This window comes from Homo sapiens, chromosome 17, assembly GCF_000001405.40.
Source record: "Homo sapiens chromosome 17, GRCh38.p14 Primary Assembly".
Lineage (NCBI taxonomy): Eukaryota > Metazoa > Chordata > Mammalia > Primates > Hominidae > Homo > Homo sapiens.
In genome coordinates, this window is record NC_000017.11 from 50,674,656 (window position 1) to 50,688,905 (window position 14,250).

General features: G+C 53.0%; 1 protein-coding gene across 1 annotated transcript in view, besides 3 other annotated features; it reads left to right on the forward strand.

Moving 5' to 3' along the window:
* ABCC3 (ATP binding cassette subfamily C member 3) overlaps positions 1-14,250 on the forward strand; it is a 57,373-nt gene that overhangs the window by 39,775 nt on the left and 3,348 nt on the right. Inside the window, exons 20-30 of the mRNA NM_003786.4 lie at positions 707-821; positions 976-1,120; positions 1,228-1,435; positions 1,623-1,933; positions 3,089-3,288; positions 3,438-3,564; positions 5,143-5,244; positions 8,955-9,101; positions 9,294-9,452; positions 10,054-10,220; positions 12,881-13,075. Coding sequence (NP_003777.2) covers positions 707-821; positions 976-1,120; positions 1,228-1,435; positions 1,623-1,933; positions 3,089-3,288; positions 3,438-3,564; positions 5,143-5,244; positions 8,955-9,101; positions 9,294-9,452; positions 10,054-10,220; positions 12,881-13,075 — 1,876 coding nt within the window. The remainder of the gene's footprint in view (positions 1-706; positions 822-975; positions 1,121-1,227; positions 1,436-1,622; positions 1,934-3,088; positions 3,289-3,437; positions 3,565-5,142; positions 5,245-8,954; positions 9,102-9,293; positions 9,453-10,053; positions 10,221-12,880; positions 13,076-14,250) is intronic.
* Positions 2,673-2,967: a silencer, noted in NCBI's record as "tiled region #5804; K562 Repressive DNase matched - State 21:Repr". NCBI's record gives its function as "represses a minimal TATA promoter and a strong SV40 promoter by Sharpr-MPRA in K562 cells {active_cell/tissue: K562}" and the evidence as "EXISTENCE:reporter gene assay evidence [ECO:0000049][PMID:27701403]".
* Positions 9,993-10,479: an enhancer, noted in NCBI's record as "ABCC3 (B) eExon fragment used in the reporter construct". NCBI's record gives its function as "activates a pGL4.23 vector minimal promoter by reporter assays in HepG2 cells and mouse liver" and the evidence as "EXISTENCE:reporter gene assay evidence [ECO:0000049][PMID:25340400]".
* Positions 12,693-12,987: a silencer, noted in NCBI's record as "tiled region #2031; K562 Repressive non-DNase unmatched - State 7:EnhWF". NCBI's record gives its function as "represses a minimal TATA promoter and a strong SV40 promoter by Sharpr-MPRA in K562 cells {active_cell/tissue: K562}" and the evidence as "EXISTENCE:reporter gene assay evidence [ECO:0000049][PMID:27701403]".

The window sequence follows — 14,250 nt, forward strand, 5'->3', positions numbered from 1 at the left end:
TTCTGGATTGGCTCACAGACCTTTTCCTGGGCTTTCTTGCCTATGGCTATACATACAGCCAACGTGCCTTGAGCATTTACCAAGTGCTGTGCCCCTCGCTCACACACTGGACACATTTTCTTTTAAGCCTACAGTCATGCAGATTTTTTTTTTTTTTTTTTGGGGACAGTTTCTCACTCTGTTGCCCAGGCTGGAGTGCAACGGTGCGATCTTGGCTCACTGCAACCTTTGCCTCCTGGGTTCAAGCGATTCTCCTGCCTCAGCCTCCCGAGTAGCCAGGATTATAGGTGCCCGCCACCACGCCCGGCTAATTTTTGTATTTTTAGTAGAGACGGGGTTTCACCATGTTGGCCAGGCTGGTCTCGATCTCCTGACCTCGTGAGCTGCCTGCCTCAGCCTCCCAAAGTGCTGGGATTACAGGCGTGAGCCACCATGCCCGACCAAGGACGTGAGTTTTAAGCTCAGCCAGTCTAACTCCAGAGCCCAAGTTCCTAACCCTTGTATTTGAGTCCGTTTCTCCATAATTTGTGAAGAGAGTTTTTCTTGTTGCTTAACCCAAGTCTTTCTTGTTGCCCTTTCAATCCCCCTCATTTTATTTTCATGCTTGTCCATTGAACCCCTTTCATTAGAGTGGGGAATGGGAGATACCAGGGGCTTGCAGGGAGAACTAGCTGAACCCTATCTCCTTCCTCCCACCCTACTGCAGCGTTGGAAGGTGCAGAGGATAAGGAGGCACTGCTGATTGAAGACACACTCAGCAACCACACGGATCTGACAGACAATGATCCAGTCACCTATGTGGTCCAGAAGCAGTTTATGAGGTGAGTTCCTGAGAGCTCCCAGCCCTCCCGGAGGCTGTATCAGGCCTCCCCAGGCCCTGCCAGATGGGGTGCAGGTTTCTCCCTGACACTCCCAGCCTCTGTCCTGGGGGGTGCTTGAGGCCCCCTCCCTGGGCCTGACCAGCTGCCTCCACAGACAGCTGAGTGCCCTGTCCTCAGATGGGGAGGGACAGGGTCGGCCTGTACCCCGGAGGCACCTGGGTCCATCAGAGAAGGTGCAGGTGACAGAGGCGAAGGCAGATGGGGCACTGACCCAGGAGGAGAAAGCAGCCATTGGCACTGTGAGTCGGTGGGGCAAGAGGGGCTGGAGGGGATGGACAGGCAGGCCCCAGCAGCCCCAGGGTTTATGGAGTCCCCTGTCCCTGACTGCCATGGCTGCTCCCTACAGGTGGAGCTCAGTGTGTTCTGGGATTATGCCAAGGCCGTGGGGCTCTGTACCACGCTGGCCATCTGTCTCCTGTATGTGGGTCAAAGTGCGGCTGCCATTGGAGCCAATGTGTGGCTCAGTGCCTGGACAAATGATGCCATGGCAGACAGTAGACAGAACAACACTTCCCTGAGGCTGGGCGTCTATGCTGCTTTAGGAATTCTGCAAGGTGAGCTTGTGGGGGTGTCCAGAAGGGGCTCCAATATCCCTTCTTCTCTGGGCTGCCAGGCCCCCCAAACCGTGCCCTTGCATCCAAGCCTCCCTAACCCACTCTGGTCAACCCGTGTCTCTGATTCTGCCCCTTTGTGCCCGCTCACTAGTCCAGGTGAGCCAGCGCCCTCTGCCTTCTCCAACAGGGTTCTTGGTGATGCTGGCAGCCATGGCCATGGCAGCGGGTGGCATCCAGGCTGCCCGTGTGTTGCACCAGGCACTGCTGCACAACAAGATACGCTCGCCACAGTCCTTCTTTGACACCACACCATCAGGCCGCATCCTGAACTGCTTCTCCAAGGACATCTATGTCGTTGATGAGGTTCTGGCCCCTGTCATCCTCATGCTGCTCAATTCCTTCTTCAACGCCATCTCCACTCTTGTGGTCATCATGGCCAGCACGCCGCTCTTCACTGTGGTCATCCTGCCCCTGGCTGTGCTCTACACCTTAGTGCAGGTGTGGGGTGGGCGTGATTCCAGTGTGGGCGTGGTGTTATTGGGGCGGGGCAACACATGGGCGGGGGCAGCAGGGGTGGGACACTTCAGGCCACCAACATTACAGAGTTTTGTTAGGGGCAGTCGTTGCTTAACATTTATGTTAGGGGAGCCATTACTTAACCTCTTTGAAACTCATTTGCCTCACCTGTAAAATAGAATGACTCATAGACCTTCCTCATGGAGTTGGTGAGAGAATAAAATGAAATAGTTATACATTGTAGCTGGCACTGGGACTTTCCTGTTGGCTTTTTTTTTTTGGGGGGGGGGGGACGGAATCTCGAGTCTCGCTCTGTCGCTCAGGCTGGAGTGCAGCTGCACGATCTCAGCTCACTGTAACCTCCGCCTCCCAGGTTCAAGCAATTCTGTTTCAGCCTCCCAGGTAGCTGGGATTACAGGCATGCGCCACCACGCCCAGCTAATTTTTGTAGTTTTAGTAGAGATGGGGTTTCACTATGTTGGCCAGGCTGCTCTTGAACTCCTGACCTCAAGTGATCCGCCCACCTCGGCCTCCCAAAGTGCTGGGATTACAGGTGGGAACCACCATACCCGGCCTTCCTGTTGGCTGTTTTTTGATAAAACATTGTCAACAGTTTGGGACACATTATCCTTTCCTTCCTTTTATACATATCTAAACATACGTGTATGCATGCGTTTAACATAGATGAGTTGATAACCTTCAGATACAGCTAACTGTAAAAGGCCTTTGCAGACACTGAACTCCTGTTCTGTAATGAATTAGTCAGTTCCCGGGGATAGATGCTCAACACCTGGGTATAGCGACCATGATCTAGGCTGTGCTCTGTGCTGGGCTAGGGGAGAATCAGATAGACATCCTGTATAGCCTGGATATCTGAGGCCACAGAGGAGAGGATGGAAACTGGAGGCAGAGCCGTGTTGTTGTGGGGTTGAAGCAGAGATGATCAGAGGGAGGGAGTGAATGACACATCAAGGCCCCAAGTCTTGGGTCCTTGGAGGTGGGGGAAGGCAGCGATGTCTCGTGGTGGGAGTGAGGCTGGCTGGGAGGACTCATCTGAAAATGGATGAGTTCAGAGACAGGCAGGACTGAGTTGGGGGTTCCATGGCCCTGACCCCAAACTCCTTCTCCCTCCATCAGCGCTTCTATGCAGCCACATCACGGCAACTGAAGCGGCTGGAATCAGTCAGCCGCTCACCTATCTACTCCCACTTTTCGGAGACAGTGACTGGTGCCAGTGTCATCCGGGCCTACAACCGCAGCCGGGATTTTGAGATCATCAGTGATACTAAGGTGGATGCCAACCAGAGAAGCTGCTACCCCTACATCATCTCCAACCGGTCAGAAGCCGCCTCCCTCGCTCCCTGCTCCTCCAGGAATTCCCAGCAGGCTCTCTGGTGTTCAGGGTCCTTGTCCCTCCTTTCCCCTAAGCAGAAAACTGGCCCTGCCCTGCCCCTGCCCCATTTCCTCCTCATCTGATCCCCCATAGGTGGCTGAGCATCGGAGTGGAGTTCGTGGGGAACTGCGTGGTGCTCTTTGCTGCACTATTTGCCGTCATCGGGAGGAGCAGCCTGAACCCGGGGCTGGTGGGCCTTTCTGTGTCCTACTCCTTGCAGGTATGAAGGGCCTGGACCCCAGGGCAGGGCCACCACTGGGACAGAAACCACACAGGTGTTCCAGGCATCTCCCGAGTGCCCCTCCCTGCTCAGTATGGGCACCAGCCACAGGGTCTGTTCTCAAGGACTGTGAGAAAAAAAAAAAAAGAAAAAAATCATTGAGTTGACAAGTTTATAACCACACACCATGGCTGGATGTTCCTACTTTCCTTCCCCAAGAAGCCCATGTTCTCACATTCAGAAAGAATTCTGTTGAATAATCTCTGTCCTCAAACCCCACATCTCTCTCCTGCTCAGCCGTCGACCTTGCCTGACACCTCACAGTTCAACTGGAGAGACCCCCATCAGCAGGAGATTGTGCTGCAGGCTGAGCAGGTCTTTGTGGCTGGAGAAACAAAATGTTTTAAAAGCCCAGAAGAGGGACTGGGTGCAGTGGCTCACACCTAATCCCAGCACTTTGGGAGGCGGAGGTGGGCGGATCACCTGAGGCCAGGAGCTCCAGAACAGCCTGGCCAACATGGTGAAACCCTATCTCTACTTAAATACAAAAATTAGCCAGCCGTGGTGGCGGGCATCTGTAATCCCAGCTACTCAGGAGGCTGAGGCAGGAGAATAGCTTGAACCTGGGAGGCAGAGGTTGCAGTGAGCCAAGATCACGCCACTGCACTCCAGCCTGGGTGACAGAGCGAGACTCCATCTCAAGAGAGAAAAAAAAAAAGTCCAGAGGAGTTTTCTTGCTTTGGGGTGTTGTAGAAATGATCTTGGAGCTTAGCCCCAAAGGACAAACAGAATTTCTCTTGTCTCTGGGCAAGTTGTAGGCTCATGTGACAGGTCAGGACAGTGTAGGGCTGGCATACCGCTCGCTCACGTTCACATGCTTGCAGAGAACGTACACAGACGAGGTGACTGAAGCCTGGTCTGCAGGTCAGGCAGGTCATCCTGATGCCAGCTTGTACTGTCAAAGAGTCACCTAACTGCAAACGGAATTTTTGTAAAGCAGATCACATTGTTAATACCTCAGGTGGCTCAAACCTTGAACGCGTTGGCAAACAAAAAACAATCCAGAAAGGTCAATTTTCACAAAGGTCAGTGTGCACATGAATCTACTTGTTAAAATGTACATTTTGATTCAGTAGACCTAGGATGGGGCTCAGGACTCTGCACTTTGATCAAGACTCCTTGGTACGCAAAGTGTGGCCCATGGGCCAGTTGCATCACCATCCTCTGGGAGCTTGTTAGAAATGAAGAATCTCAGGTTCCAAGTCCCACCTCAGACTACAGAATCCGGCGTTGCATTTTAACAAGATTCTCTGGGAAGTCTTATACATATTAAAGTTGGAGAAACAGAAACCAAGGCGAGGTGGTCCTTGGTTAAGTCTGCACTGTCACTGCCCAAGGGAGTCATTCGTGATTACAGCCCCAGCTGGCATGCCTGTGGGCTTGATCCAGGCCCACCTGGGTCATCCATGGGCTAGGATCCCATGGATGGGCACATGATCCAGGAGTCTGAACTCCTCCCAAAGCCATTACGGTGGGGAGGGGAGATCGCCATACGTATAACCCAGTCCCTTTGGCCAGGTGACATTTGCTCTGAACTGGATGATACGAATGATGTCAGATTTGGAATCTAACATCGTGGCTGTGGAGAGGGTCAAGGAGTACTCCAAGACAGAGACAGAGGTGGGTACTGGCATGAGCCCGGGACAGGGGGAATCTGAAGTAGCTGGGGAAGAAAGCTTGGTGGCTCTCTCTCCCTCAACATCAGGGCCTGCCACGTATGGGGCTCTTCATTCATTTACCCATTCACTCCTTACTGAGCATCAACCAATGCTCTATGCTAGGAGGTGTAGAGAGATCAGAGTTGAGCAAGACGGTGTTTGCCCTTAGGTGATTCTGATTTGGTGGGAGGGGTAAGACCTATTGCAGGGCTTTGCAGTGGATGACCAGATCTCTGGCGTGGTGCACCTGGAGAGGGCAGATGAGGGAGATCCTTCAGCTGGGGTGACCAGGGGAGACGAGCTTAGATGAGAAGGATGGACAGGCTTTGATAGACTAAGTAAGATGGTGGGGTGGGCAGTGGGAAGGTGAGCATTCCAGCCAAAGAGACCAGCCTGGGCAAAGGAGTGGAGGTGGGGCAGCATGCCCTTTGTTGGGGAAAAGGAGTTGTTCCCTACTGGGGGTTCCAGACTTTTCTCCACCGCCCCCTCTCATGGTCACACCTTAGCCCTCTTCATGCCCAGAAGCTGCAGCATCAGTGTCAAGCATCCCATCTTTGGCCCACGCTCCTATCCTGCTCGCTCTCATGCTCCAAGTCCCCCACTGTCACAGCAGTCTGCCTTCACTGGGACTCCCAATCCCATGACCCCCCTTTGTGTCTCTGTCCATCAGCTTCTCTGCCTTCACCTCCCTCCCCGGCCAGCCTAGAGTCTATGCTCCACCAACACAAACGCTCTCACCTGCCTTGCCCTTCTCTTTCTTCTCTCTCAGTTGTACTCACCTCCAAAACCCACCCCAGCTGAGCCCACCAATCTGCCTTCTTCATGCCTGCACTGAGCACTTAAAACCTTGCAGGAGGCGGGGCACAGTGACTCATGCCTGTAATCCCAGCACTTTGGGAGGCCAAGGTGGGTGGATCTCTTGAGGTCGGGAGTTCAAAACCAGCCTGGCCAACATGGTGAAACCCCATCTCTACTAAAAATACAAAAAAATAGCTGGGCGTGGTGGTGCACACCTGTATTCCCAGCTACTTGGGAGTCCAAGGCAGGAGAATCGCTTGAACCCAGGCGGTGGAGGTTGCAGTGAGCCGAGATTGCGCCACTGCACCCCAGCCTGGATAACAGAGTGAGACTCTGTCTAAAAAAAAAAAAAGCTTGCAGGAGAAAAATCACTGAGTTGACAAGTTTATAACCACACACCACGGCTGCATGTTCCTGCTTTGCTTCCCCAAGAAGCCCATGTTCTCACGTTCAGAAAGAATTCTGTTGAATAATCTCTGTCCTCAAACCCCACATCTCCCTCCTGCTCAGCCATCGACCTTGCCTGACACCTCCATAAAAAGTAGGTTCTAAGACGTGAACTCCCTCAACCTTCCTGCCTCTCAGTCTTTAAACCCGCCTGTGTCTCCTTCACCGTTGTCTCCTTTTCACTTTTAGCAGGAATCATCCCTTTCTGTTTCAAAGCCCAGCCCCTCCATTTCTTCTCATGGCCGCTTGAGGACCTGGCTTCCTCAGTCCCGCCCTCCATCTCCTGTCATTCTTGCTCCCTCTGTTGGACGCTTCCCATCCACATGCAAAAATATTCCATCACATCTTCCATTCCAGACACACACGCAAACCCTCCCCCCTGCACTCCACTGCCCCATTTCTCTGCTCTCCTCTGTCATGAAGCATGGTTTAAAGTATGGTCTCTACAAGCTGCATCCGCTTCCTCATCAGCCTTGATGTCATCTGCCTCCTGCAGTCCTCTTTCTGGCCCTCGCTCCACGGAGACAGCTCACCAGTGACCTTCCTGGTTCCAAATCCAGGGGACGCTTTTCTGTTCTCGTCTAATTCAACCTCTTAGCAACGTCCCAATAAAATGACCTCTCCCTTCTTCTTGGAGTCCTCGTGGATTCCGTGGCCTGCATTGCACCCGCCAGTCCACCTGCCTGACCCCAGCCTGGCTTCCCCAGGCATCACCCTCTGGCCCCTCACCCCTCACTGTCTGGGAGCTTCCAGTTCCCCTGCTTCATGTCTAGCAGCCCAGTTCCTGCATGGATACCCATGCTCCTGTCTCTGTATCCTATAAATGTCTGCCCTCAACCCCACGGCCCGTTCTCTGACGCCTCCTTGAGAGACCAATCTGTGCCTGCTGCTCTGCTTTTTCACCTCTGGCCGCGTGGTTTCTCCTGCCTCGAAGCAGGGCTGGCTCCACAGGAATAGTCACAGCGTCCCCACTCCCGGAAGAACTGCGCGTTTAGAGTAATGCTCTGCCGTCAGTGCCTTGACATTCTCCATCATTCTTCAACAAGAAGCCTCAGGTTTTCATTTTGCACTGGGCCTCCCAAATTATGTAGCCAATCCTATCTCAAAGCCACCATCATCTTATGCCCTGCCAGTCTATTCTGCTTGTAGCTGCCAAGAGATTTAAAAAAAAAAAAAAAAAAAATCAAATCACGTCATTCCTCTGTGTACAGCCCTCTAATGGCTTTGCATCTTAATCAGAGTTAAAAAAAAAAAAAGTCCTTAAAATGGCCTGCAAGGCCCTACATGATGGAGCCACCATTACCTCAGCCTCTTACCTCTTGCCTTTGCCAGTGTGCTCCAGAACACACCTAGAGCCATTTATGCCTGCTGTTCCCTCTGCCTGGCATGCCCTCCCTCCAGATATCCACTTGGCTTGTTCCCTCACCTCCTTCGGGTCTTTACTAAAGTCTGCCTCCTCCAGGAAGCCTTCCCTGACCACCCTGTATAAAGCAGCAACACTAAGCACTTCTTGGCCCCAGCACTCATCACTTCTTGCGTTGTATAGATTTGCTTATCTGTTGATTATATGCCTCCCTCTACTAGAACATAAATCTCACGAGGGTGAGGACTGTTTCAATGGGGTACCATTGTGTCCCCACTGCCTGGCACTGGGCTGCCACCCAGTAACAATGAATGGGTAAAGGTAATGAGAGGGGGAGTTAGGGCAGGCAGGGAGGGCACTTCAAGGAATATAAGGTGTGGCACAGTGGCTCACACCTGTATTCCCAGGACTTTGGGAATCCTCCTAGGCAGGAGGATCCCTGGAGGCTAGGAGTTCGAGACCAGCCTGGTCAACACAGCGAGACACAGTCTCTTCAGAGTTTTTCTTTAAAAAATTAGCCAGGTGTGGTGACACAGGCCTGTAGTCCTAGCTAATCAGGAGGCTGAGGCAGGAGGATGGCTTGAGCCCAGGAATTCAAGGTTGCATTGAGCTATGATTGCACCACTGCACTCCAGCCTGAGTGACAGAACAAGAACTTGTCACAGAACAAAACAAGTTAGCCAGGCATGGTGGCATGTGCCTGTTGTAGTCCTAGCTACTAGGGAGGCTGAGGGAGGAGAATCGCTGGAACCCAGGAGTTCAAGGCTGCAATGAGCCATGATTGAGACCCTGTCTCTCAAAAATTAAAAAAAAAAAAAAAAAGGAACATGGGCAAGCAGGGAGACTGGGAGGGGAAGGACAGGGGAGTGTTGGAGTAGGTCTGTGGGGAATAAAGTCAGAGGGATAAAGGAGTCATTGAACACAAGGCTGAGCCACAGGGGTGCCAAGGACCCTCCCAGGGACCATAGTTGGGGAGGATTGAGGGGCCTTGGGGGAGAGAGACCGAAAGGTGAAAGAGGGCTTCACTGGGCAGCTGATGTGACCCCATCTGCCCCTCCTGCCAGGCGCCCTGGGTGGTGGAAGGCAGCCGCCCTCCCGAAGGTTGGCCCCCACGTGGGGAGGTGGAGTTCCGGAATTATTCTGTGCGCTACCGGCCGGGCCTAGACCTGGTGCTGAGAGACCTGAGTCTGCATGTGCACGGTGGCGAGAAGGTACGCGTGGGGTAGGCGGGCCTGCGTGTGTGTTCATGCCTGCAGACATGGCCACAGCCCTTGTGGGGAGCTTGGGTCTTTTGAGAGCACAAGTGCTCCAGCCACATGTTTGTTCGGCCTCCAGGAGAGTCCTGGAGATGCGCCTTTGACCTCTCAGCTTCCCCCTCAGAGCCCCTTCCCTTCTCCGCCCAGGTGGGGATCGTGGGCCGCACTGGGGCTGGCAAGTCTTCCATGACCCTTTGCCTGTTCCGCATCCTGGAGGCGGCAAAGGGTGAAATCCGCATTGATGGCCTCAATGTGGCAGACATCGGCCTCCATGACCTGCGCTCTCAGCTGACCATCATCCCGCAGGTAGGAGCCTGGCATGGGCTGGCCACACTCACCAACGGCCCTGGAGGCAGGCCCCACCTTGTTCTGTAGCTTTAGGATGGAGACTGGGACCCCAGTCTCAGAGGCTTGGGCAGGTGGGGAGGGACAGACAGCAGGAAGCAGAGCCATCAGTGAGCCACCCGTCATGGATCTGGAAAGCTCAGACTTACCCTGCCCAGTCAGGCCCTGTCCTTTGACCTCCTGGGCCAGCACATGGGGAAGGACCCCTCCAAGAACCCCTTCCCCCGAGACATTCTGCCCTGGTCTTTTTGCGCAGCTCTAATTACATTTCACTTTTTCTGTCTCCTCCGGGGTATTTTTTGTTTCTGCCGAGTGGACACTTTGGAGTCAGATTAGTGGCTCTGGTTCCTGCTTCAACAGAGGTCTTCGTGATTGGCAAAGCTGAGGTTTATCACTCCCCTACAGGCAATTTTCTATCTCTTTGGCCATTGTGTCCTCTGGGGAGCTGGAAACAGAGTGGGAATGCTGCCACCTTAATCCCTCTCTTCTTCCCTGGACCTGGGGCCTATGGCTCCTCATAGGGCCTAAGCTGCCTCCCTCTGAGGCCACGTTGTATCCCCAGGACCCCATCCTGTTCTCGGGGACCCTGCGCATGAACCTGGACCCCTTCGGCAGCTACTCAGAGGAGGACATTTGGTGGGCTTTGGAGCTGTCCCACCTGCACACGTTTGTGAGCTCCCAGCCGGCAGGCCTGGACTTCCAGTGCTCAGAGGGCGGGGAGAATCTCAGGTAAACACTGGGAGTGCAGAGGTCAGGAACTGCAACCCTCCCTGGGAAACCCTGGCGGGTGCTGGGAAACCTGACACCAATGACACAGAGATGAGGCCAGCCCGGATGTGCACAGGGCTGTCCTTTCGTATTGAGCATATTCCGTGTGCCAGGCATGGTGTACTGCCCCGCCGACTCCTCACACAAGCCCCAGCGGTGGTCCATGATCCCACTTCACCGGTCAGGGAACTGAGGCTCAGAGATGGTAAAGGGCTTGACCTAAGTTGCACAGCTGGGAGAAGGCAGGTCTGGGATTTGAACCAGCTCTGGGAGATTCCAAAACCCTTTGAGGAAGCCCTCTCCCCTCCAGAGCTTTCTTACAGCCCCAGATTTTATGTCCTCAGCCACTGGGCTATGCACTGGAGGGGCCAGTAGTCACCTCTTACTGAGTCTAAAGGTTGGAGATACCTATACCTGTGCTAGCTGTGTGATTTGGGGCTAGTTGCTTAACCTCTCTGTGCCTACTTTTCTTTCACTCTAAAAGGCAGATAATAACAGTCCAAACCTCTTTGCATTATGCTGCCCAATAAAAAACAAAGCAAGTCATGCATATGAAGCTAATGTTTTTTTCTTATAGCCACACTTTTTAAAAAGGAAAAACAAGCAAAATAAACTGTAATACTATAACTTATTTAGCCCAATATATCTAAAATATTATTTCAACACATCATTGATATAAGTATTAGAAATATTTTGCGTTTCTTCCTACAAGTTTGAAATCCAGTGTATATTTCACATTTACAGAATGTCTCAATTTGGACTAGTCACATTTCAAGTGCTAATAGCCACATGGGGCCAGTGGCTACCACCTGGACAGAGCAGTGTTAGGGTCAGTGTGATGACAGGAAAAGCGCTTCGCTTGGATGCTCCTGTAAAATGTCAGCTTTTCCCCTCCTCCCTTCCCTCCATCTTCTCCTCCTCCTCCTCCTCTTCCCTATTTTCATTTTTATATTCAGTCCATACTCATGCACCCTCCCCAGACCTCAAAAACTAAAACAAGGCCAGGCACAGTGGCTCACGCCTGTAATCCCAGCACTTTAGGAGGCCAAGGCAGGTGGATCACTTGAGGGCAGGAGTTCAAGACCAGCCTGGCCAACATGGTGAAACCCTGTCTCTGCTAAACACAAAAATTAGCTAGGCGTGATGGCGGGCGCCTGTAATCCCAGCTATTCGAGAAGCCAAGGCAGGAGAATCGCTTGAACCCTGGAGGCGGAGGTTGCAGTGAGCCAAGATCTCACCACTGCACTCTAGCCTGGGTGACCGAGCGAGACTTCGTCTCAAGAAAAAAAACTTTACATTTGCCCAGCACTTAACAATATTCAAAGCACTCTGGCCTCCACTTTCTCCTTTAATCTTTACCATGGTCCTGTGGGCCAGAAACGAGCCTCCACGGTTTGAAATGATTTCCTCGCAGCAGTTCAGCTGGTAAGGGGCAGAGCGGGGACTCTGGCTCTGTCCCAAACCTTTCCTTGCTGTATCACAGCCACCTCCCTCACCTGGACAACATTCCCCAAGGCCCCTCATTATCCCAAGGGTGGGACTCCCTTGCCACCCACGCAGCCCTTAAGACTAAATATGCATCTTAAGTGGCTCTCACTTACATAACCACGTGGGGGTGGCTGGCGGACAAACATGGTCTCTCCAGACCCTGTGCCCCATGACTGTCTCTTGCTTGATCCATTCTTCTCACCTGCTTGCTCTCAACACTTCCCCCAGAGCATGCCCCACCCCGACACATGCCGTGATCAGAGACAGAAATCAGCTCCCCTCCTCCCTCACTGAGCTTGTAGCCACTTTAAGTATAACCTGTGTCCTGTGCCAGTTCCACCATAAATCAGCCCTGAGTTCTATCCGGCGGCTTATTCTGCTGCCAAAACCTTCATTAGTTGCGGGAATGGGCCAGGGAGAGAGCCCGGACTTTACTCCGGCTGTGGTGACTCACGCCTTTGGGAAGGGCTGAGGTATTTGTCCTTGGATGTGGGGATGCTGTGGCCTCTGGTTGGGAACACAGCCTCGTTTTGTCTGCTGGCTCTGGCTTCCAGAGCAGGAGGCTGAAGGCGTGTGTCCTGCTCCTCCTTTACCTCCTCAGTGACCAGACACAAAGAGTCCCCGGGTGTTCCTCTGCCCTGCCATTTTCTTGTCCCAGAAGCAGAGCCCTGGCCTGTATTCCCTATGGGGTGGGAGGTGACTGCCTGAATTGTGTGATATTAGGCTCAGCAAGATGGCATCGTGTGGCCTATTTGCAAATATCCAAGAAGAGCCATGCAAGTATGTTCTTACTAAGGTGTAAATGGCTGATAGAGTGAAGCAGAGAAACATCACGGCACTAGCTGAAAAGCAAGGATGGGGAAGAAAGCACCGAGAGAGGAGGCCAAGGGTGCCAAGAGCAGACCAGGGATTTCACAATGCCTTTTAGCACTGGCTCATTCCCCAAGGCCCCTCATTATCCCAATGGTGTCCAGACCTCTGCTCCGTTCTGGAGGGCTGGGCTGTGGCAGAAATGGGAGAAGTCAGACAGAAAACCAGTCCTGGGCCACTGAGGAGTGAAACAGGTCTGGGAATGAGGCCCAGAGGCAGGTGGGAGGCCCCCAGCTGGAAATGCCTGCCTTCTCCACTCCCAGCGTGGGCCAGAGGCAGCTCGTGTGCCTGGCCCGAGCCCTGCTCCGCAAGAGCCGCATCCTGGTTTTAGACGAGGCCACAGCTGCCATCGACCTGGAGACTGACAACCTCATCCAGGCTACCATCCGCACCCAGTTTGATACCTGCACTGTCCTGACCATCGCACACCGGCTTAACACTATCATGGACTACACCAGGTGGGACACGGAAACCTGAGCAATGGGGAACCTGGTGGGGCCACCTGGGGCATCAGGAATGGGCAGGGCAGATTAGGGTTATCTGAACAAGGCAATGTTCCTGGGATTGCTAGGGCATGGCAGGCAGAGCAGAGTTTCCCAAGATCTGGATAAGGGGCAGACCAGAGTGGGGTGGCCTGGGCTCAGGGGTGGGGTATACAATGACATTTTCATTTTTCTTCTTCTTCTTCTTTTTTTTTTTTGAGACAGAGTTTTGCTCTGTTGCCTAGGCTGGAGTGCAGTGGCTCACTGCAGCCTCAGCCTCTCGAAGTACTGGGATTACAGGCGTGCACCACCACATCCGGCTAATTTTTGTATTTTTAGTAGAGACGGTTTCACCATGTTGGCCAGGCTGGTCTCGAACTCCTGACCTCAAGTGATCCACCTGTCTCGGCCTCCCAAAGTGCTGGGATTACAGGCGTGAGCCACTGCGCCCAGCTTCAACAATGACATTTTCTAACACATGGGGAAGGGCACACTGGGCTCCACAGGCACTGTCTTTGTGCACAGGCCACTTGCATCCTGCCTCCTCCATGAGGCAATGTAAGGGGAACTGGAGGCTTCATGCTGAGTCCCATCACTTCCTAAGAAACCTGCTGGCAGAGTGCCTGCATGTCCCTCACCTTATTGGTGTCTCACAGCCACTCTGGTCACAGATGAAGAAGCAACTCAAGTGGCAGCTGGACCGTGACAGCACCATGAGGAGCTGAGCCTTGTGGGGAGAGCACTGTGTCTGGAGTCCCAGGCTGCTGTGTGACCCTGGGCAATTTGCAAAACCTTTCTGAGCCTGTTTCAAATGAAAATGATGCTTCGTGGGATTGTCGTAGTCAATGAGGGCTGGGCACAGTGGCTCACACCTGTAATCTCAGCACTTTGGGAGGCCAAGGAGGGCGGATGACTTGAGGTGAGGAGTTCAAGACCAGCCTGGCCAACATGGAGAAACCCTGTCTCTACTAAAAACAAAACAAAACAAAACAAAAACAAAAATTTGCCGGATGTGGTGGTGCATGCCTGTAATCTCAGCTACTCGGGAGGCTGACAGAGAATTGCTTGAACTCAGGAAGCAAAGATTGCAGTGAGCCAAGATTACGCCAGGACACTCCAGTCTGAGTGACAGAGTGAGACGTTGTCTCAAA